General features: G+C 36.5%; 1 protein-coding gene across 10 annotated transcripts in view; it reads left to right on the top strand.

The window, feature by feature from the left end:
- The window catches only part of MALRD1 (MAM and LDL receptor class A domain containing 1), a 687,552-nt gene that overhangs the window by 126,252 nt on the left and 536,476 nt on the right, over positions 1-24,824 (top strand). For 8 of the 10 annotated variants that reach the window (XM_011519453.3, XM_011519455.3, XM_011519454.2 and 5 more), the window contains one exon: positions 2,030-2,150. In XM_011519453.3, coding sequence (XP_011517755.1) covers positions 2,030-2,150 — 121 coding nt within the window. Of the gene's footprint in view, positions 1-2,029; positions 2,151-5,515; positions 5,655-24,824 lie in introns of all 10 variants that reach the window. The other 2 variants (XM_017016185.1, XM_017016184.1) reach the window with 1 other exon arrangement.

Consider the following 24,824-nt stretch of genomic DNA (forward strand, 5'->3'; position numbering starts at 1 on the left):
TACTTGGAAATCTAAACCATTGTATGTTTTCAGCCTAAGTAATATTATACTATAATATTTTTCTGTAACTTATTTTTTTTACTCCAAAACACATGTTGAATTTCTTTCCATAATGACACATGGCGATAGATATTATTTTTAACTGGTATAGTATTTCTCACTATTGATTGATTCATTCACATGTAAGTTCTTTCCTGTCATTTGTCATCAAAACCAGCACTGAAATAAACATTCCTGCACAAGCCTTCATGTGTATACCTTTGAGTGTCTCTCTAGGATAAATGCCAAGAAATTAACTCAATTTTTATAGTCTATGCAATTTTTCTTTTTAACAAATGCTGTCTAGTTTCTCTCCAGTTGAGCTGTACCAACTCATGGAATTTTCCTCTCCATCTATTATCTGATTAATTTGTTGTTCTCTTAAAATCTTATACTCCGTTAACACCCATCAACATTTTCTAAACACACAATACACTTTCTCATCTCTGTGTTTTTGCTGCGATTGCTGCCTCAGTTTCTCGAGGTAAAATGTTTTGCCCAACAAAATTTGGTATCATGGAGGCTTACTATTACTTCTCCACCAAATCTTTTCCCAAACTCTCATTATTGGCAGAAATAATGAAGTGTCTTCTTTGAGTCTCCTAGTATCTTATACTTATTTCTTATACAGCATTTATGATGTAGGGTAGTGAATGTATCATACGAAGTGTAGGAGAGGAAAAGTAATACCGTTTCCTCACTCATCACAAGGGACATGGCTGGAAGCCCTATAACAAAAGAGAGGTTAAAAAGAAAAAAAATAACAAATTTATTAACATTTTATGTGACATAGGGGCCTTCAAAAACAAAGGCCTGAAGACCAGGGAAAACTCTCTATGTTTATGCTTAAGTTCAACAATGAATGGACAATCATGAAGAAATACAAATGGACAGAAAGAATATGATCTCATTGTAAAAACTTGGAGAGAACTCAGCAAAGATCTTTATGGGCCTCTCTGTGTAGTGTTTCTTTCATCCAGGTATAGATAGGGTAGGACACCAGTTAAATGAGGTTCTTATGACCTATTTTGAGGAGAAGTAAGCCGGATAATTCCTTTATGGCTGGCTCTCACAAAGGAAAGAGAGGGGAAGGCAGAGAGGGACTCCAAGGTGCTGTATTTTGGGATAGCATGTTCTGACTCCAAGGTGTTGTATTTTGAGATAGCATGTTCTGAGCCCTGGCACAAGTAAATTTAATGATCCTTGAGATTGGAGACCCTCCTTGACAGGATAGAAATGTACCTTCTGTCTGTGTCCTGGACTGGTGGTCCACTATGCAGGTTCATAAGATTCCTGGCATAAATTACTTCTTCCTTTCCCTCCTTTCTCTCTCTCTCTCTCTCTTTTTTTCTTCTTGGAATAACAACATAATATGAGTAATTAACAAGAAAGAAAACAAATTATATCAGTCATTATTCAGCGTTAGAATAAACTAAAATTAAATAGATGTCTCTGAGTGCTTCAGCATATGAATATTATCAACCACTGTATGTGGTTATTGATGTGTGCTTTACTACAGTGAGTATGTTTCTGTGTATGTATATAATATATATTATGTTTGTATGAATGTATATAATATTTAAATATTTTAATATGGAAATAAATCATTGCCTTCAGCACACTGATTACAAATCAATTCATATCTCAGTTAAATTGAGTTGTAAGTCACACAGTTGATTACCCCAAAGAGCTCATTATAAATGCATATGACTCTTAATGGCTCCAATGAGAAGAGAGCCCTTCACTCGTGATGAATGTTACCACTTTTAATTGAAACAAGGTTACCTTTGGCATTAAGGTACATAAGATGCTGTCAAAGCAGTTATGGTTTTATAAATTTAAATTAGGATGTTCTGGTCAGAACAGTTTTCTAAAATTAGATTGGAGAATGGGACAGATGTAAATAGGGTTCCTCTACACAAAGAAATATGATTGTAAGACATTACTTTTGTGATGTGTTTTTAACAGTTTTATCTTTCTGTAATTATAGTTAATTTTGGAAGCTACTGTTTTGTCGTCAAATGCTACCGTTGCTCTAGATGACATCAGTGTGTCCCAGGAATGTGAAATTTCCTATAAATCACTACCAAGGACCAGTACACAAAGCAAGTGTAAGTTTTTCCTTGTCGTTGTTGCTGTTTTAAACATTGAATTAAGCTCTTCTCAGTATCAAAATATAAAATGTATTAGAGTCACGAATACCTAATACAGGGTGTGGATTATATCACCTGTTCTTGAAACCTAAAATATATATATATATATATATTTTAAAAGGTAAACATCTGGTCTAGTCCTTAGGCCTCTCTTCCAGTAATATGGAAAATATTCTATGCTTGCAGCTGAAATTATTGCATCCAAATATTTTAATTATAAATATTATGAAAAAATTATAATTATCTTGCATATTTTAAATACACTTTTATAAATATTCACTTCTCCATTAATTTTATTCAGAACTTCAAATGAGCATGTAATAATATTCATATTTCAGGATCACCCAGGAGTTCAAAAAAAGCAAAAAGGTTGTGTTTGGGAAAATGATGTAAGGCCAACCAAAATTTAAAACTGGACCTTAAAATTCTGTGTTTCTATTCAAAATTTAATATTTTCAGATCACAGATGGAGTTTGTCTAATTCTTTGACTAAATTTTTTGGAGAGAATATCAATTACAGGCCAGAAATGTTGCCATAAAAATGGATCTCATATAGTCAACTATGTATTTTAAAACCTAATCATTATTTAGATTCTGGGATCATGTACACATTGAAAGAATGTACACTATACCTTCAGTTACTTTCTCTTTCTAGTACTAATTGATGTTTCTCTCTGACCACTCCTACCCTCAGATCTCAATGAATCTGACAATATTAAAAATGTTTTCTGAAAAGTGTCACACTTTATTTTTCTTAATCTGTATCTATGGAAAAGATTTGCATATGAAAATCAGACATACTGTATATTCCTAAGTTATATATACTTAAACAACATATTTAGTGAGTGCAACAGTTGTATTCTTACAGGAGCTGAATGGACTAATCAAGAAAAATTTGGGTCACATGATTCTGGATTGAGGCGATTAAAGAACTTTTAATTAAAGGTCCTTTATTAAAGACATTTTTCATTCGAGAGAGTGTATATTTCTGGGTGCTTTTTTTTTTTTTTTTTTTGAGACGGAGTCTCGCTCTGTCGCCCAGGCCGGACTGCGGACTGCAGTGGCGCAATCTCGGCTCACTGCAAGCTCCGCTTCCCGGGTTCAAGCCATTCTCCTGCCTCAGCCTCCCGAGTAGCTGGGACTACAGGCGCCCGCCACCGCGCCCGGCTAATTTTTTGTATTTTTAGTAGAGACGGGGTTTCACCTTGTTAGCCAGGATGGTCTCGATCTCCTGACCTCATGATCCACCCGCCTCGGCCTCCCAAAGTGCTGGGATTACAGGCGTGAGCCACCGCGCCCGGCCCTGGGTGCTAATTTATATTGGGTTAACGTGTATTTACTTTATTCAGAATGTGTATCCTGCATGCATAATAGACCATTCTAAGCTCTGCGCATGTGTTCATGCAAGTGTGTGTGTGTGTGCATGTGTGCGCGTGTCTGCCTGTGTGTCTGTGTGTGTGTGCATGCCTGTGTGTCTGTGTGTGTGCGTGCATGTGTGCATGTGTGTGTGTGTGTGTGCATGGGTGTGTGCATGCGTGTCTGTGCACATGTGTGTATGATTCTGATAGACACCGAGGAGTGCAGAGCAGCAGATTTAAGGATTCATTTAAAGATTCATGAGTTTGGCCAGGCACGGTGGCTCACACCTGCAATCCTAGCACTTTGGGAGGCTGAGCCGGGCGGATCAGTTGAGGTCAGGAGTTCAAGACCTGCCTGGCCAACATGGTGAAACCCCATCTCTACTAAAAATACAAAAAAATTAGCCAGGGCATGGTGGCGGGCACCTGTAGTCCCAGCTACTAGGGAGGCTGAGGCAGGAGAATGGCGTGAACCGAAGAGGCGGAGCTTGTAGTGAGCCGAGATCGCGCCACTGCACTCAAGCCTGGGTGACAGAGCAAGATTCCTCTCAAAAAAAAAAAAAAAAGATTCACGAGTTTTTAAGGGTTAAACAGGATTACCTTATTTTTGTTGTTTAATTAAAGATTTTCTTTCTCTTAATTAAATACCACATCACCGGAATCATAATAGCTGAAAAGCATTAAAGTTGACATTGAAGAGCACTGTCTTGTAATGTAGTATTTGGAGGTATAGGGGCAGAAAGGTGTGACAAAAACCTTTCTTCACCCATCATAAAGGTCACAGCTGACACTCCGAGAATGAAAGACAGTTTAATGAGAGAAAAGCATAACAAATTTGTTTATCAAAGTTTTACTTGACACAGGAGCCTTCAGAAATGAAGATGCAAAGTCCCAGGGAAAAGCATGTGCTTTATTTTATTTTTTCGTTTTTATTTGTTTTTCAGCCCCTTTTCCTATTTAGAAAACTGTGTATTTTTCTGCTTAGTTTTGGTGAAGAGCAAACAGCCATTTTGAAATGTGATCGGACAAAAGGGTATGATCCAATGGTAACAGACTGAGCAGGGAAACTTAGCAAAGCCTCTGTGTTCAGAGTCTCCTTGACTCCTTTGTGTAGAATTTCTTCCCCCCTGGGAACAGGAAAGGACCCCTCTAGAATGAGGATCTTGTGACCTAATTTCAGGCAAGATAAGCCAGATAATTTGTTTATGACCAGCGCTCACAAAGAAAGGTCAGGGAAGTTCAGAGTGACCTTGCTCCTGGGGTACCTCCCAATCTCCTTCAGTTCAAAGTACTTTGGGGCAGCCTTTCCTGAGCTCTTACCGAGGCAAAAGTGTGGTTAAAGGTTTTAAATCATTACTAAAGTTAACCTTAGCAAAAGTTTTTGAGACACTTGATCTTGCTTATGGAGAATTCTTTTCTTAAATTCACTCAGGATTCATGGATATGTGCATCCATCTGAACACCAAATCAGTTGGATAGATAATATATCTAATTAGGACAGATTACATGAATGATTCCTGAAAGATCAATGGATGTACACAAAGGAAAAAAAGGCATTTCTTATTGTTTTTGCAAATATGTCCAGTAGACAATTATAGGATCTCATTTGTGGAGTTCAGTATTAGTAGTGAGCAGAAGTTTATGGAGAGAAACTGAAAGGAATATTTAAAAACGTGCCATGCTCCATTGACAGTAAATTGTTATATGTATGGAGCAGAATGGCCAAAGGTTTACCCAGACTACCCAGACCCTGTACAGGACTTGAAGTTTTGAAATCTTTAACAGGCATACAAATGGCTGCACCACTTCAAAGCAATCTTAGAGCTGTAGTTTTCTGCTCACAGTCCGCGTGATGAAAATCGCAAGTGCTACTTTGATTTGGCCTTTAATCAAGCTTCTTCTCCTTCAGAATATTTAAAAGCTAGTGTTGATGAAATAATTTTGCATTCTGTTTATTTGTTAAAGGGAGAGAGCCTGTTGTATGCTCTTAATCTCAATTTTGAAGCCAGATTTGTGCCTGGTGAGGATGCAGGTTGTATTTCATCCAGGAAGATACGCGATTTTCCAACTGAGTGCCCAAAGGGAGCACATGAAACTAATTGCTGTGAGTGCATTACTGACTCCTTCGGCAAATATTTATATGTACATATTTACTCTCTGAACGTAAAGTGCACACTACTCAAGTGAGCATTGTATGATGAAGACAGTCAGAACAGAGACCTCTGCATGATGGAAATGACTTGCCGGTGAGAACAAACCAGATTCGCTTTAAACTAGAGGCGATGAATGAAAACGTCCTGCTAACTTTCAGTTTTGCCCTGTTGGAGAATAATATTTGAAATATATGCAGGATAGCGCTCAAAACACAAGAGCAAGGATGTATCTAGCCAGTCATAGAAAAATAAGTAACACATGACATCACTTATATGAGGTATCTATGTAGTCATATTTGTAGAATCAAAGAGTAAAATTGTGGTAACCAGGTTCTGGGAGGAGAGGAAGTGGAAAATTACTAATCAACAGGCATACATTTTCAGTCAAACAAGATGAATAAGCTCTAGACATCTGCTGTATAACATGGTATCTAAAGTCAATGACAATGTATTGTACACTTAAAAATGTGTTGTGGGGGTAGATCTGGCTGGGTGCAGTGGCTCAAGCCTGTAATCCCAGCACTTTGGGAGGCTGAGGCATGTTGATCACTTGAGGCCAGGAGTTCAAGACCAGCCTGGCCAACATCACAAAACCCCATCTCTACTAAAAATATAAAAATTATCAGGGCATGGTGGCACACACCTGTAATCCCAGCTACTCAGGAGGTGCAGGTTGCAGTGAGCTGAGATCACACCACTGCATTACAGCCTGGGTGACAGAGAGAGACCCTGTCTGCCACCCCCCCATAAAAAAGAGGGTAGATCTTATATTTTCTTATCACAATATATGTATTATAAACATTTCTTTATTAAATTATTTTTAACATCATAATATTCTTATTATCGTAAGCAGTTGCTATTTCAGTACAACTAGCAGTAGAAGACTTTATACTGCTTACAAATGTTATTTCAAATGATAGTGTATCAATAAATAGTTCTATGGTCATAAAACTATAGATCCTGCCTAGTTCTATATATTTTTCCACCTTTAAGAGTCTCCTTTCAGTTCGTCCTTTTCCAGGGCAATGCCTCCATTCTTTCTGCTTTCTACTTAAATGATTCTAAAACTATCCTAGCATCCCTGAAAAAGTAATACAGAAGAAGAAAAAAAAAGAAGGTTGTCTGTTGGTGGATAAGCTTTTCCAAAAGTATTTTAATAACTGTACTATTGAACACAATTAAAAAGAGGCAAGAGGAAAGGCAAGAGAAGCATCCCATTTTATTGATTACCTATACCCGAGGTGAAAACCAAGGTGGTTTTGAGTCAAGACAGTGGAGGAACACAGACATTTTCCAGAAGTGTGGTGGCGCAAAGAGTTGGAGAGACTCTTTCCTCTGCATTCAAAACATACATGAGAATGATGAGAAAAATCAGGGCCATTGCTGAGTGCTAATACATTGGCAAGCAGCCATGCTGTGACCCACAAAAAACTTTATGAGCATCTTTTCTATACCAAGAGATTTGGTAAGAAGAAAGTGTGATCATTTCCCTCGAGAAACATAATCTATTACAGAGAGCTCAGAAATAAATCTAAACATAAAAGACCAAATAAGTTTTGACAAAGGCACCAAGAGGACACAGTAGGGAAAAAATAGTCTCGTCAGTAAATGGTGCCGGAAAATCTGGACGTTCTCATGCGAAAGAATGAAATTGGACCTTTGTCTTACACCGTACACTTAAATAAATTCAAAATGTAAGAAAGTCCTAAATTTAAGACCTGAAATCATTAAACTCCTAGAAGAGAACATAGGGGAAAAACTCCTTGACATTAGAGTTGGCAATGATTTTTTAATATCACACCAAATGCTCTGGCTACAAAAGCAGAAATAAATAATGGGATTACCTCAAACTAAAAGGCTTCTGCACAGTAAAGGAAACACTCAGCAAAATAAAATAGCAACCTGCATATCGGGAAAAATATTTGCAAACCATATATCTGATAAGGGGTTAATATTCAAAATTTATGAAGATTTTATACAACTCAGAAATAGATAAATAGATAAAAAATGGGCAAAGGCCCTGAATAGACATTTCTCCACAGAAGACATAAAAATAATCAACTGGTATATGAACAGATATTCCACATTTCATTGGCATTAATCATCAGGGAAATACAAATCCAAAACTCTTTTAGATACCTCCTCATATCAATTAGGATAGCTATAATTAAAAAAAAGCGTAACACATTTTAGTAAGAGTGTGGAGAAAAGAGTACTCATACTGTTGGTGCAAATGTGAATTGTGCAGCCATTATGGAATATGGTATGGAGGTTTCTAAAGAAATTAGCAATAAAACTACCCTATGATTTAGCAATCTCTCTTTTGGGTATATACCCAGAAAAAATGAAATTACCACTTCATAAAGCTATCTGCACTCCCATGTTCGCTGCAGGATTATTCTTGATAGCCAAGATATGAAAACAACCTAAGTGTCTGTTGATGTACAGATAGATAAACTGTGGTATCTAAAGAAACAGTGGAATATTATTCAGCCTTAAAAAAAGAGATTCTGCCATTTTTCACATCCTAGGTGAATCTGGAGGAAATTATGCTATGAAATAAGCCAAACACAAGAAGGAAAATATTGCATGATCTCAATTATGGGTGGCATCTAAAAATTATATACAGATATAGAGAATGAAACAGTGGTTACCAGAGGCAGGGGCCAAGGGAAGGAAATGGAGATATGTAGATCGGAGGATACGATGTAACAGATATGGAGGAGAAATGTGTCTAGAGATGTAATGTACAACGTGAGGACTACAGTTAATAACACTTGAGGACTACAGTTAATAACAGATTTGAGATTTGAGATTTGATAAATGAGTAAGTTTTAGCTACTCTTGCCACAAAAAAAGAAAAAAAAGGGCAATTATGTGAGATAATGGATAATTTGCCTCACTGTAATAACCATTTTACTATCTATATGTATCCCATAACCTTATGCTGTATATCTTTAATATACATAATAAAATTTGTTTTAAAAATTAAGAAAAGAAGCTTAGTCTATTAGGTAAGAAATGTATCGATTTAATAGTGTTGTAATGATAACTGGAATAGAGATGTAAACAAGTAGCTATTTTAACTCTAGGAAGTTGGAAAATATATTCAATAGAAAGTAGGTAAGTCCTCAGCAGCAATTTTTTTTATTTTATTATTATTATACTTTAGGAATTTCTTAAGATGTTTTCTAGTTTTCTTGCTGTGTAAGAAGAGTGTCTATTGCAAGTTCTGCCAGGGATTAACAGTTCTAGGCCTGTCTCTGATATACATTAAGACTGTTACCAAATGTACATGGTTTAAGAACCTTACCTATATAGTCTTTTAATCAGCAAAACAAATATAAGAGGTACTATTTTCCTCATTTTACGAACTTTCTTGTCATTTAGTTTCTTATCAGTTAGAATTCCATTTTAAACACAGTCTGCCTCCAAAACCTACATTTTTTTTTTTTTTTTTTTTTTTTGAGACGGAGTCTGTTGCCCAGGCTGGAGTGCAGTGGTGCGATATGGGCTTACTGCCAGCTCTGCCTCCCGGGTTCACGCCATTCTCCTGCCTCAGCCTCCCGAGTATCTGGGACAGCAGGCGCCCGCCATCACGCCCGGCTAATTTTTTTTTTGTATTTTTTTAGTAGAGACGGGGTTTCACCGTGTTAGCCAGGATGGTCTCGATCTCCTGACCTCGTAATCCGTCCGCCTCAGCCTCCCAAAGTGCTGGGATTACAGGTGTGAGCCACTGCACCCGGCCCAAAACCTACGTTCTTAACTGCAAATCGTATAGCCTTTCTATCCTTTTAAGGTCATCATTATATTGAGAATGATGTTTTTAGAAAATGTGAAAAGTTCCCTACGTGAGCAGTTTAAGCAATGGGAATTTTGAAGCCAATGATCAAAACTTCACTTTTGGAGGAGAAACGATGCCCTTAGTCTCTAATATGTCAAATGGTCACTTAGTAAATGCTGTCGAGAAGTTTAAGGAGTGAATGTCTTTAAAAAATAATACTTAATACTTTCTCCTTAGTAATTATTTCTTTAATCACAGTACATTTTATAATCTGAAATGTATTAAATTGCTTTTAATTCCTATAGTGCTTTTCGGGGACTTAAAAGATAATTTTTTAGACATAAAAGGAAAATAAAAGATCACTATTTGGATAATGGACCCACCCTCATAGGGAATTGAATTAGAAAATTAGCAAACGACCTCCAGTTCTCTAAAGTCTTATTTTGAGGGTTTTTTTTTTTTTTTTGCCTGCTTTTTTGAAAAAACTAATTTTTATACTGTGAATCTGTTTATTCATAGAAATGCTAATTCTTCATCCCATTTTTGTGAATCCTTTCATTAAAGATTCTGGCAATGAGTGGAGGTGAGGTAAAGACACAGTGAAGAATACAGAGAAGTAGGAGTCTTTTTTTTTCTTGTCTTCTTTGCAGCAAAAAGGTTTGAAGGAAGCATGCAAAATTTAGGCTGCGATTCTAATGTTGAACAAATGAGCATATCACTTCTCTTACAGAGACCTTAATTGCTTGAAAAAACAGGGGTTTCTTATAAGGAGGAAAAGGCAATGCCACCCTCAGGATTTCTATTTATGAACTTAAATCCTCCTAAAAAGGACCATTGCTATTCTTGAATTTCAAACATTTAATATTTTAATGCTATTTATTTTAATTTTTCTCACTTTCACAACCATCTTTAACACAATTTACTTTCTTTTTTACATGAGACTGATTATGGCCTACTTCAAACGGGTTATTAAGTTTGCTAAAAATTTAGGTCTTCAGTGCCTTGAAATATTTTCAGATTTTGTAGAAAAAAATAGCAAACATAAATTGCAACCAATTTTGGTAAATGAGAGAACAAGTTATTGGATTTGCTCAAGAACTGTTTGGGATACATAAAGGTTAGGAAGTTTTGCAGAATTTTGATAGCCTTGGATGATTTAATCAAATGTTTCCATACTTATTTATATTATGATATAAAAGTGCAGTTACTTAAAATGTAACCCAGGTGTACAGGTTTTCAAGGAGTCTCTCTCTCTCTGCCAGTTAAAACACCACACACTGATGATGATGTTAAATTATCTCTGATTTTTATTTATGATAACTGAAGGGCTGAAAAACCTACATAGCATGACAGATACAACATATCTCAACAAAACTTCTCTGGACCTTCAGAAACTCTAAGGGACAGGCTGCAGGGTGAATCACTGTTGGATGTAATTTTTGCCTGGACATAGCGAAATTACAGTGTATCAGAAAAGTTCAATGCCAGGGTGGATTTTAGGCCTGGGATCATGTTGCCATTTATGAGGAACTAGACAAATACTCTGTATGTTTTCATTTAAGGGAATGTTTAACATGATCTGCACATCTTAGCTCTCAAGTCAAACTTGGCATCAGGACAAACCCTAAAAGAAGGCAGATGAGGAGTGAGCTCCAGAGAGCAGAGCCAGTACCTAGGTGTCTTCCCATAGTTCCAGTGTTCTGAAAAGTCCATTTCTCCTGGACGGGTTATTTGATGTTGAGGCCAATCAAAATGCTACCTCATCATTTTTGAAAGCTTATCTTTATTTTTCTTAGATCAAAATTGTTACTCTGAATTGTTTCTTTAGGATAGATCATAAAAAGGGAAATTTGGGGTTTAAGTTTTTTGTAGTTGTTGTTGTTTTGTTTTGTTTTGTTTTTGAAACAGGGTCTTGGTCTGTTGCCCAGGCTGGGGTGCAGTGGTGCGATCTTGGCTCACTGCAACCTCTGCTTCCCGGATTCAAGTGATTCTCCTGCCTCAGCCTCCCTAGTGGCTAGACTACAGGTGAGCACCACCGTGCCCAGCTAATTTTTGTATTTTTAGTGGAGATGGGGTTTTGCCATGTTGGCCAGGCTGGTCTTGAACTCCTGACCTCAGGTGATCCACTCGCCTTGGCCTCCCGAAGTGCTGAGATTACAGGCATGAGCTGCCATGCCTGGCCTAAATTGTCATTTAATGACATTCAACACATTTTGCCAAATGTTTCCCCAAAACATTATGCTAATAAACAATCATATCAACAAAGTAAAACTGTGGCAGTGTCCCTGTGTTTGAAGTCCATTTTGAAATTTACTTTCACTTTTCATGATTATGCAAATACTATTTATAAGTTCCTATTTTTGTGAACAAATACTTTGTTTCCTCAAGACTAAAATAAATAATGCTACTTTATGTAGTGCTTTCTTTCGTTCCAAGAGATAATGTGTATACTGGAAAATGAAGATATTATGTGTCAAATAGTATAAATGGTACATTTTCTCACGCCTACATTGTATTAACAGGACATATATAAACTATTTTGTACTGGCTGTGCTATGTAATGTAGGCAAGAAAGCCAAAATTTACTTAAGCAGCTCTGTAAGTTGTAAAGACATTTTAATATTTCCAAACAACATTTAGTGAGCACTATAATTTATTTCTGTCTAAAACCTATTTAGTCCAAAGTGCATGTACTAATTTTATGAAAAAATTCTAAACAATTTCCTATATTCTACTTTTCTGTCTACTCATGAGAAAAAAAAAACATGTAAGTCTCTACTGAGTAGTTGAATTCAATGAAACCTTAGCCAAGGTTGAATAGTACAAGGAAAAGGAGTGATTTATTATTTATTTATTTATTTATTCAATCTTAGATGCTGGTTATATATTTTCCTCAAACTAGTATATCTGCTAAATACAGAAATATGTGCATTAGACACTGGCATTTCCACAGCAGAGATGCATAATAGAGACAAAGTCATTTTATGTGTGTTGATACTTTGCAAGCCATGTATCTTATGTACTCAGTATTGACCAAGAATAATTGCATTACTCTGCACTGAGACTTATGTTTTCTTTTATTACATAAATGCATTAAGAGAAGGCTTGAATTTCCTATAGCAACTCTCTGCTCTATATGTTTTGAGATAGTGTGTGTGTGTGTGTGTGTGTGTGTGTGTTAGTCTTTGAATTAGGACTACTTTTTTCAGTGTATTTTCTGAAAAATGTTTCTGAGTAGGCCTTTTTGGCTAGATTGGAGATACTTCATCTTAATTATAATATTAAAGGATTTCTATGATGTGTCTCTCTGTATAATTACAAATTACTTTTAATTTTGTAAGGTCTGGAAAAATGAGCTGCTGTTTTCTGTGTTCTATCTTATGTTCTTTTTCCATAGCCCTGAATACAAGGAAAAAAAGTCTGAAAATATACCTACACTTGCTAATTATTATCTTCCCCTTTTATTAAATGCATATTGGTAAATAAGTCTCTGTAGGGAAAAAAGGCTATCTAGTTATTTTTCCTTAGTAAACTGGATTTCCATTCTCTTCTCATTGTCCTCAAGTTTAAAATCTAGACAACTATTTTCTATTCAGACAAACCGCTCTAGACAGATGTCATTGTGAAAGACCCTAATGGGAGGTTGTTTCTGGTGAAGGCTCATCATTTCTGTGGCATGAAATCAAGAAGTGGAGAAAACGTCCATTCACCCTCATTTATGGAAGTCACTGATCTCCGATAAAGAAAAGTGAAAACTATTTCTATAGTCAGGTAAAATCTGATAAATAACCCATGCTATTTTGATCAGTCTTTGCTGCAGATAATCATGTTGTTAAATTAGGAGAATTCAGGATAGTAGTGAAAATACGTGATTCTTCTTCCGCCGTTGAAAATTCTATTGAGAATAAAAGCAGGCATTTAACAAGAAAGCCTTTTTCTATAATTATTTAAGATTAAGTTTCAATACATTAGATTATTAATGGTGACTGTGGAGAGAGTGGATTTTTTTTTCCGTGTCATACTTTGAGCTCGACTGGGATATTATTTTTTTGACAAGATCGTTGTTCTTCTTCACTCTTAAAATTGTGTTAGAAGTATTACTGGCTTTCCTTTTCTTTTTGTTGCTTATCTGCTGAAACTATTCAGTTCTTCTCTTTTCTCACATGCCACTACTCTTGTTCATTTTGTTTCCATTTTCAGGTTAGCAATGTGTGTGATAGGTAAAAAAGGGGCGTAAAGAGCCTTCCCCACCTAACACTAAGTGTTCCAAGCATCCAAGCAATCGACGTCTCCCTGCCTTGCAGAAACACACCACTGTAGGGAGTGAAATGTACACTGCTTCTGATGTGATACAATTATCTCTTTGGGTTATAGGTTTAGAGACACCTAAAAGACCACATAATAATTTAGTTAATTTATGTAGTATAAATACTCACATGCTTACTTTTAAGCACTTACTTTATAGCTGACAGTGTTTGAAGTAAATTTGCATGCACAAACTAATTTATAGCTCTGTAAAATAAGGCATAAAGAGGATTAATATTAGGGCCCTGCTTCCTAGCTGGGGACAGACTGACCCTTATAATGAGTGAATAAATTATGTACTATTTTTAGAAGGGATGTGTGCTGTAGAAAAAAAAATGAGGCAAGGAAAGGGCAATGGGGGAAGGCAAGGGAGCTTTGCAATTTCCAAGAGAGTGGTCATAGTACATCTCAGTTACAAGGTGGTATTGTAACAAAGACTTGAGAAGGTGAGGAAACAAGCTTTGAGATATCTCAAAAGAAAAGAAAGAGTGTTCTAAGCAGAAAGAAGGAACTAAGGGATTGGGACAGGAACACATCTGGTGAATTTGAACAATAGCAAGGGGACCAATGTGGCTGGAAGAGGTTGATTATAGAGAACAATTATAGGATAATAAGGCTGAGGAAGAGCAGCCCACCTAGAGCAATGGTTCCCAACACTGGCTGTGTGTGAGAGACACTCAGAGTTCTTTGCAGCAACATGGATTGAGTTGGAGGCCGGAATCCTAAGCAAATTAACAGAAACGGAAACCAAATACCACATGTTCTCACTCGTAAGTGGGAACTAAAACATTGAGTTCACATGGACATAAATATGGAGACAATAGACAATGGACTACAGGAGGGTGGAGAGGTGGGTAGGTTTCAAAACTACCTATTGGGTACTGTGCTCACTACCTGGGTTATGGGATCTGTACTCCAAACCTCAGCATCGTGCAACATTGCCATGTAACAAATATGCACATGTATTCACTATATCTAAAATAAAAGTCGAAATAAAAAGTCTTGAGGCAGGGCTAATTAAATCACAATCTCTAGGGTAGAATCCTGTCATTCACAGTTTTTAAATTATGTGCATCCAAGGTTGAGGACCATTTCAGCCGAGGCCTTATGGGTGATTGTAAGGACACTAGCTTTTAAATGAGACTGGGAGCATTTTGAACAGAAGACTTGCAAGATCTGACTTGCCACAATCACTGTGTTTGCTACATTGAAAAGAGATAGAAGGGGGTTATTGATGCCCATCGTCAATGACCACCTGTAACAAGATTGGGTTTATTGATAGTTGCTAAGCAAGGAAAATAGCCTACTAGGAGAAACTGGGACGTGGCTTAACAAGAGGAACTTGTTCTAGGATTTGGACTTGTGTTGGGTCATTTAGAGAAGGGCTCAAGGAAGCAAGAATTTTCTTTTGATTGGATGTTTTCAAGAAATAGGATAATTCTGTGATTGTATATCTGAACAAATTTTATTTAGGAGGTGAGATAAATTGAACTAAAGTTATAATTGGTTAAAATACAATACTCATGTCAGTCAGGAAAGGGGAATGAATATTTGAGGACTTTCGAGTTTACACTGTGATCTTTTTTTGTCTGTGTTCAGAAATGAATAGAGTGGCCTTCTTTTTGTCTGGTTTTATTTCTCAGTCTACGGAGCTACCTTGTTTAATGTTGTTGATATGTGCAAATCTTTATGTTCAACGGAAGATCACTACAGCTCAGCTGTTATTGTCAGTTCAGGTACTAGCAACACCAAAGTCTAGAAGACATCACCAGCAAACTGCCAACTGTTGGCCAGTGTCAGAAATGGAAGCAGAAAGAGCAGTTGGGGAGTATTCCAAGGACTGAATAAGGAAATGATGGTGACTTGAGCTAGGTAGGGTGAGAGCAGTAGAGATGGTCAGAAGTGGGCAGATTCTGGATCTATTTTGAAGGCAGGTAGAAGTGAAAAGCTTTGATAGAAATGAATAAATAATATAAAGATAATAAAGCAAATCAAAGAAATCAAACATTGGTTCTTCAAAAAGATTGGTAAAATTGACAAACCTTTAACGAAATGGACCTAGGGAGAGAGAGAAAGGGAGAGAGACAGAGAGAGGGAGAGACAAAGAGAGAGAGAAGATTCAAATTACTATAATCAGAAATAAAAGTGGGGACATTGCTTTCAATTCTACATAAATAAAAAAGATTATAAGATTAGAGTACCATATACAAATACATGCCACAAAATTGGATAACTTAAGTATAATAAACAGATTCCTAGAAATGTAAAACCTACCAAGATTAAAGCACAAAGAAACAGAAAATCTGAATGGACCTACAACTAGCAAAGAGATTTGATGAATAATAAAAGATCTGCTAACAAAGTAAAGCCCTGGAACTGTCCCATTAGTGTCAGTGGTGAAGTTTGCCAAGTATGTAAAAAAGAACTAACAACAATCCTCTCAAATTTTTCCAAAAAATTGAAGACAAGGAATATTTTCTAACTTATTCAATGAGGCCAGCATTACCCTGAGACTCAAGCCAGACAAAGAGACTGCAAAAAAAACTATGAACCTATATGCTTTATGATCGTTTATGCAAAATCCTCAACAAAATATTAGCAAAGTTATTTCAGAAGCATATTAAAAAGATTATACAACATGACCAAGTGGGATTTTTTTCCTGGAATGCAGGAATGGTTCAACCTAGGAATATCTGTCTATGTAATGCACCACATTAACAGAACGAAGGAAAGAAAAAAACACGTGATCACCTCAATTGATGCAGAAAAAAACATTTGATACAATTCAATATTTAATTCAGGATAAAAATACTCAACAAACCAGGAATAAAAGGAAACCACCTCAACATAATAAAAGCCATGTATGAAAAACTCACAGCTACATTATACTCATTGGTGAAAGACTAAAAGCTTTTCTTCTAAGATCAGGAATAAGGAAAGGATGTCCATCCATATCCATGTTTGCCACTTCTATTCGTAGTACTAGCAAAAGCAATTAATTTAAAACATAACAAAAAAGAAAATAATAGGAATAAAGAAAATGAAATAAAAGTCATACAAATTGGAAACAAAGAATTTTTATATGTAAATATCCCTTTAAGTTCTACAAAAAACCCTGTTAGAACTAAAACATGAATTCAACAAAATGTAAAGTTAAAATACAAAAATTGGTTGCATTTCTTTACATTAGCAATGAACCATCCAAAAAGGAAATTAAAAACCCAATTCTCTTGCAATAACAGAAAAAAGAATAAAAGTCTTTAGGAATTAATCAAGATGGTGAAAGACTTGTACAATAAAAAATAAAAAACATTTCTGAAATAAATTTTTAAAAATATAGATAATGAAAAGACATTCCATGTTCATAGATCAGAAGACGTAATATTCTTAAGATGTCAGTATCACTCAAAGTGATCTACAGATTCGATATAATCCCTGTTAAAATACCAATCACATTTTTTAGCTGAAATAGAAAGTAAGTTCATATTGAATCTCAAAGAACCCCAAATAGACAAAATAATTCTGAAAAAGAGGAACAAAGTTGGAGGACACACACACCCTGATTTCAAAACTTATTACAAAACTACAGTAAACAAAACAGTATGGTACTGCCAAAAAGACCAATGTATAGATCAGTGGAATAGATTACAGAGTCCAGAAATAAACCCTCACATATATGAACAAGTGATTTTTTTTTTTTTTTTTGGCAAAGGTACCAACACCATTCAATTGGTAAAATCCAGTATTTTCAATACATGCTGCTGGGAAAACTAGATATCAACTTGCGAAAGTATGAAGTTGGACCCTTACCTAACTTCATATTCAAAAAGTAACTCAAAATCAATCCATAAACTAAATATAAGACCTAAAACTATAAAACTCTTAGAAGAAAATATAGGACAGAAACCTTATGATGCTGTGTCTGTCAATGATTTAATGGATGACACCAAAGGCACAGGCAACAAAATAAAAAATAGACAAATTGGACTTTATGAGAGCTTTAAAATTTTTTGCATCCTAAAACACTATCAACAGAGTAAAAAGGCAACCCCAAGAAGGGGAGAAACTTTTTGCAAATTGTATATCTGATAAGGGATTGATATCCACAATATAGGAGAGAACTTCTAAAACTCAATAATAAACCAACAGCTCAATTCAAAAATAGACAAAATATTTTAATGGACATTTCTCCAAAGAAGACAAAATATTTTAATGGACATTTCTCCAATAAGCATGTGAAAAGATGTCCAACATCACCAACATTAGGGAAATGCAAATCAAAACAATGAGATACCACCTTGCATCCATTAGATTACTACCCAAAAATAATAAAAACCAAAAACAAAACCAAACAAAAAACCAATCCAGAAGTTAACAAGTGTTGGTGAGGATGTGGGAATCAGAACTCTTGTGCACTGTTAGGGAATGTAAAATGGCATAGCTACTGTGGAAGAGGAAAGCAATTCTTCAAAAAAATTAAAAATATAATTACCATATGCTTCGGCAATTCCAGTTTTGGGTATATACTCAAAATAATTAAAAGCAAGATCTCAAAGAGATATTTGCACACTCATGTTCATAGAAGCATTATTCACAATAGCTAAAACCTGAAAGTAACCCAATTATTCATTGACTGATGAGTGGATCAGAAAAATGTGGTGAATGCATACAATGGAATGTTATTTAGTCATAACAAGGAAAGAAATTCTGACATACACTACAAAGTGAATAAAACTTGAGGACATGGCCGGGTGCGGTTACTCACACCTGTAATCCTAGCACTTTGGGAGGCTGAGGTAGGTGGATCACCTGAGGTCAGGAGTTTGAGACCAGCATGGCCAACATGGTGAAATCCCATCTCTACTAAAAATACAAAAATTAGCTGGGAGTGGTGGTGTGCATCTGTAATCCCAGCTACTCAGGAGGCTGAGGCAGGAGAATTGCTTGAACCTGGGAAGCGGAGGTTGTAGTGAGCTGAAATCGCTCGTGCCACTGCACTCCAGCCTGGGCAATAGAGCAAAACTCTGTCCAAAGGGATAAGTAAATAAATGAAAATAAATAAAATAAAAAAAAAACTTGAGGACATACTGCTCAGTGAAATAAGCCAGTCACAAAAAGAAGTAATGATATGATTAGACTTATCCGAGGTATAGTGAATAGCCTAAATCTTAGAGACAGAAAGTAGAATGGTAGATTCCTGGGCCTGAGGGAAGAAAGGAGTGGATAATTCTTGTGTAATGGGTACAGATGTCAGTTTTGCGAGATGAAAAGAGTTTTGGACATGGATGTTGGTGATGGTTGTGCAACAATATGAAAGCACTTAATACTCCTAAGTTGTGCACTTAAAATGGTTTAGATAATAATACATTTTATGTTATGTGTATTTTATCACAATAAAGAAAAAGTAGGGGGAAAAGCAAATAAGAAGAGGGCTTGATATACCACTGCTGGTTTAAAGATGTAAGGAGCCACATGAAAAGATATGACAGGTGGGCTTAAGGAGATGAAAGAAATCCTCAGCAGACAGGCAGCAAATAAAACAAGGATCTCAGTCTTGCAGCCACAAGAAACTGAATTCTGCCAACCATCTAAATGAGAATAAGCCAGGAAGATTTCCCCCCACAGCCTCCAGATAGAGCCATCGTACCTTGTACTTTTATTACTACCTTATGAGACCCTAAGCAGACAGCCATGCCATGTCATCCTAGACATCTGACCTACAGAAACTAAGAGATAATAAATGAGTGTTGCAAGTCCCTAGGTTTGTGGTTGTTTGTTACATAGCAAGAGAAAACTAATAGAAACTAAAATAAAACAAATGCCCTGGGTATCAATAGAAAACAAATGCACTGGCAGTTACTTTCTTTCAAGACTCTAAAGATAACATTCCTTTTCCTTCTGGTTTCTATTGCATCTATTAAAGAGGTCTAATAATTATTCTTTGAAGGTGATTTATGCTTTTTTTTTCCAGCTGCTTTTAACATTTTTCTCTCTGGCACAGATTTTTGGCAGTTTGGCTAGGGTGTGCCTATGTGGGTTTTCTTTGTATTTGTTCTTTTGTGCTCACAGGGATCCTTGAAATATAGCTTTATATTCTTTTCAGTTTTGAAATTTATTAGACAGATTTTTCAAATATTTCTTCAGTTCCTGGAAATACTGTATGCCCCACAATGAGTTCTGAAAGAAGGCCAACATTATTTCAACAAACGATCAACAATATAATTGTAAGAGGGAATGGGAAGTAGTGATAAAATAACTTACAACATCAGGCATACATAGTCATGAAATAAGATGGAACTATCAAGCCAGGCTCAGTGGCTCACACCTGTAATCTCAGCACTTTGAGAGGCTGAGGCAGGAGGATCGCTTAAGCCCAGGAGTTCCAGACCAGTCTGGGCAACATGGCAAAACCTCATCTCTACAAAAAATACAAAAATTAGCTGGGCATGGTGGCACATGCCTGTAGTCCCAGCTACTCAGAGGCTGAGATGAAAGGATCTCTTGAGCCTGGGAGGTTGAGGCTGCATTGAGCCGTGATCATGCCACTGCATCCAGCCTGGGCAACACAGCGAGACCCCATCTCAAAAAAACAAAGAAAAGAAAAATGGAATTATTAAATTGTGCTACAAGACATGGGAATATTAATGCAATTGCACTTGATTTGGGTTGTAAAAATGAGTAGCGTTAATATAAATAATTCCTTATATCCTGGAGAGCAGGTTATCTTGGGTAATAAGAGTTCCCTGTGAATTTTAAGCAAGCAACTTGAGTTTTAGCTTAAAATATTCATATTTTGGCTCTTTAGGTAATTGAGCTTTTGTCAAGAAGTATAAAACATTTGAGATCATTAGCTTAGTCTGGGGGAAAAAAAATATATATATATATACACACACATATATATAATGCAAAGACAATATAAATAAACATTTAACATGACAGAAAAAAATCACATTATTTTAAAAATACATCACTGATTTCTGCCTACCCCCAGAGAAAAAATAGTAGGGTCTTTTACGAATCATACATTTTGTTCATCTACATTACTATAGTATACTGTTAATGTGATTATCTAAAAAAATTATATTATTTGTCTAATAACAACCCACCTCATATCACCATAGTACTAACAATCTTCTCATAAATATAAGCATAGTAGTGGGTACTGTTATTAACATGAGCTGACTAATACAATTTCACGTTTCAAACGCAATTGTGGGTGCTCCTTAGACACCCTGATGTGCCTAAGTTATATTTACTTTTAAACATAAACATAAAGAAAATAAACGTAGGTTATTTGTAAGACTGTAAAAATTTAGTATGAATTAATACACAGTTATTGATTGTATTTTTGTAATATTTTTCATAGCCTATTGAGTCCTCTTTAAGGACTCTCGAGTTACAAGAGTTCCTGGTGAGACTCATTTATCCAGTAACAACAAAACGTTCTCTTCTTTTTCACTGTCAGTCTTTAGTGCTACTCAGGCAGCCTTGATTTCTTCATTATTCCCAGTTTCTAAAATACAATTTCCATAATGACACTGTCAGTCTATTACCATACACGAGCTGTCTGGACACTTCTATACTTTCTGCTTGTGAACTAGATCCCATCCTTTCTTTACTATTCAATGGTGTCTCTCCAGCAAAGCCCACCACTTTTTCCTTGTCTGCTGTGTCTTCCCCATGAGCCTAAATAAACATGCTGTTCAATTCTCTTGACCCCATTTTATATGACAGCTTTCCACCTCATTTCTCAGTTTTCCTTGATAAAGTCTTAGAAAGATGTTGTCAAAAGTTATTCTCTCCTCCAAAATTTACTTAAATTCTCTCCATTCAGGCTTTTTCCCCTGTAATCAGGACCCACAAGGGCCTTATATTGTTACATCTAAAAGTCAATTCTTAGCCCTCATCCTGATTTATACAGTAGTCCACCCTTATCTGCAGTTTTGCCTTCCACAGTCAATCTCAGTCTGAAAATATAAAATGGAAAATTCCAGAAATACATTCACAAGTTTTAAATTGCACTCCATTCTGAGTAGTGTGATGAAATCTCACGCTGTCCTTATCTGTCCTGCCCAGGATGTGGAATCATCCTTTTGTCCAGTGTATTCAGGCGGTCTGTGACCCCACTGCCTGTTAGCCAACTTGATTATCAGATAGAAAAGCAGCGTACATAGTGTTCAGGATAATCCAGAGCTTCAGCCATCTACTAGGGGGTCTTGGAAAATATCTCTTGTAAATAAATGGGGATTACTAAAAGCAATATTTGCAGGTAACCACATTTTCCATTTCCTGAAAACATTTTATTCACTTGGCTTTCAAGATGGCAAATTCCCTAGGTTTTCCTCAGCTTCCTTGATTGTTCCTTCTCATCTTTGCTTCTTTTTCTTTCTGGCTCTGACGTCTAGACCTTAGATCTTTTATCTTCACTACTGTAGAAAACTCATCTAGTCTCCAGCTTTAAATGCCGTTGATATGATCGTGTCTCCCAAATTTATATCTCTAGTTTAAACCTCTTCCTTGAACTCCAGACTCAGATCTAACTCTCTATTAGACATCTTCCCCTGGATGTTTAATTGGGATCTTAAATTTTTCATACCCACCTGCAAGCTTCTGAGACTTTCCTCCAAACACAGTCTTAGAGTATGTCCGGGGTTAGAAATGACAACACCATTCTTCAGTTGCTACAGGTAAAAACTTTGTACTCATCTTTAACTCCACCCTTTTCCTTATACTCCACATCCAGTCCACAAAGCATAGCTGAATGTGGCTAGAGATGGAAAAACAAAAACAAACAAACAAGCAAAAACCCAGTGACACCTGTTCTCACTTTACATTGGGGATTGCTGCCCTAAAGTGTGTTCTCGGTGCTACCCAGCAAGCACATGCAATTTCCCCAGTCCATTCCTTCCCCCGCCCTCCTCAATGAATAACACATTTTTCTTCCGTCTTCTTTGACATCTGTCTTCCACTTCCCTATTCCTAGCCTCAACTGATGATCTGACATACTATTTCACTGAAAAAATAGAAACAACCAGAAAAGAACTTTTAGAAGTTCCAGCACCACTTCTACCCACTTGTAAAGTCAGTCTTTTCTCCTGTACCCGAAGTAAACTGTCCGTGTTTCTTTTATGTAGAACCCCTCTCTATTTGCCTGTTCAACAGCATTACTCCTGAAAGTTCTTCTGTCTACCAGTCTTTTCTATAAGAAAGAAAAAAAAGTTTTTACCTCTCACATCTTAAAAATATCTTCTCTTGATCTAATTTCTCCTTCCTGCTAACATACCATTTTTCTCTCATTTCCTTTACATTTTCCTCCTTTCTTTTATATTACTCAAAAGAATTCACTGTATTCACTTTCTTTAAACTTTCTCTTCTGAATCTCTTTTTAACTCAGTCCAGTGAGGCTCTGGCTGTCACCATTCAACAGAAACTGTTCTTATCCAAGCTACCAGTGACCTAGATCCAGTGACCTATTCTCAATCTTCATTTGACACAGATGGTATCACCCTCCTCCTTCAAATACTTAAACTTGACTTGGCTCTCATGGCATGGGGCACCACTCTTTGTTTTTTTTTTTTTTTTCTCCTATTTTTATGCCTTCTTTTTGTCACTTAGATAATTTTCTAATTTATATCTCCAGCCTAACCTCCTCATGTGAACTCTGGATTCATACATACAGCTCTTGACCTGACATGATCACTTGAATACCTAATAGGAACAGCAAGTGCAACATGTCCAAAATTGAGATTCTGTTTCCCTCAACCACCTCCAAACCTGCCTCCCCACAGTCTTCCCCACTTCATAAATGGTACCTCCATGGTTCCAAATGCTTAGGTTAAAGACTTTGAAATCATTAACTTCTGTTTTTCTCATACTACACCTTTGATATCAATTAATCCTGTCATGTCTGCTTTCAAAGTATCTCCACAATGGCTAATTTTTTTCTTCATTGCTACCACCCTGAATTAGTCTGTTTTCACACTGCTCTAAAGAACGGCCTGAGGCTGGGTAATTTATAAAGGAAAGAAGTTTAATTGACTCACGGCTCTGCATGGCTTGGGAGGCCTCAGGAAACTCACAATCATGGCAGAAGGTGAAGGGGAAGCAAGGCACGTCTTATATGGTGGCAGGAGAGAGAGAGAATGAAAGGAGAAGCACAACTTTTAAACCATCAGCTCTCATGAGAATTCACTCACTATAACGAGAACAGCATGGGGGAAATCACCCCCATGATCCAATCTTGTCCCCCCAGGTCCCTCCCTCAACACGTGAGAATTACAATTCAAGATGAGATTTTGGTGGGAACACAGAGCCAAACCATATCACACCTTGACCTCGAATTCTCATTTCTTGTCTGGATTTTTGCAGTATTCTTCCCCTTCCTTTTTTGTCCTCCACTCTCTTCAGTAAAGTCAGATGTTGTCACATCTCTGCTTAAAACATCCCAGTTGGTTCCCATCTCATTCAAAATCATAGCCAAAAAAATTGAAGTGACTGTCTAATATAATATCTTCTTATTCTACCCTCACTCATTGTCCTTGTGACACCCTGGTCTCTGAATACATCTGAAACATGAGAAGCATGCTATGGCCTCAAGGCTTTGTCCCTGTGATTCCCTCAGTGGTGGGTGTCCTTTACCGGCATAGCTCCACAACTTGCTTCCTCACCTACCTCCTTCAGCCATTTACCCAGTTGCCAACTTTTCTATAAAGTCTTCCTTGATCATTGATAAAATTACAGCCCTTTGCTCTAACATTTTCAATATTCTTCCTTATTTTATTTTTTATTAGCCCTTTTACCATTACTTATTTATCTTGTGTTTTTATTGTTATCTCCACTAATGTCCACACCCCCCTGGCTTTCATATGTAAAATCCATGAGGACAGAGGTTTTCTTTCTTTTCCCTGCTGTGCTCTTAGACTTTATACTTGTGCAGACATATAGCATGTATTTGCTAAGTTTTTGTCGAATGAATGAATAATGAATGAATGAGCACATAGTGGTTTTTACTCTCATGATTGCTTACTTGCTT

The sequence above is a fragment of the Homo sapiens genome, chromosome 10, assembly GCF_000001405.40.
Source record: "Homo sapiens chromosome 10, GRCh38.p14 Primary Assembly".
Taxonomy (NCBI): domain Eukaryota; kingdom Metazoa; phylum Chordata; class Mammalia; order Primates; family Hominidae; genus Homo; species Homo sapiens.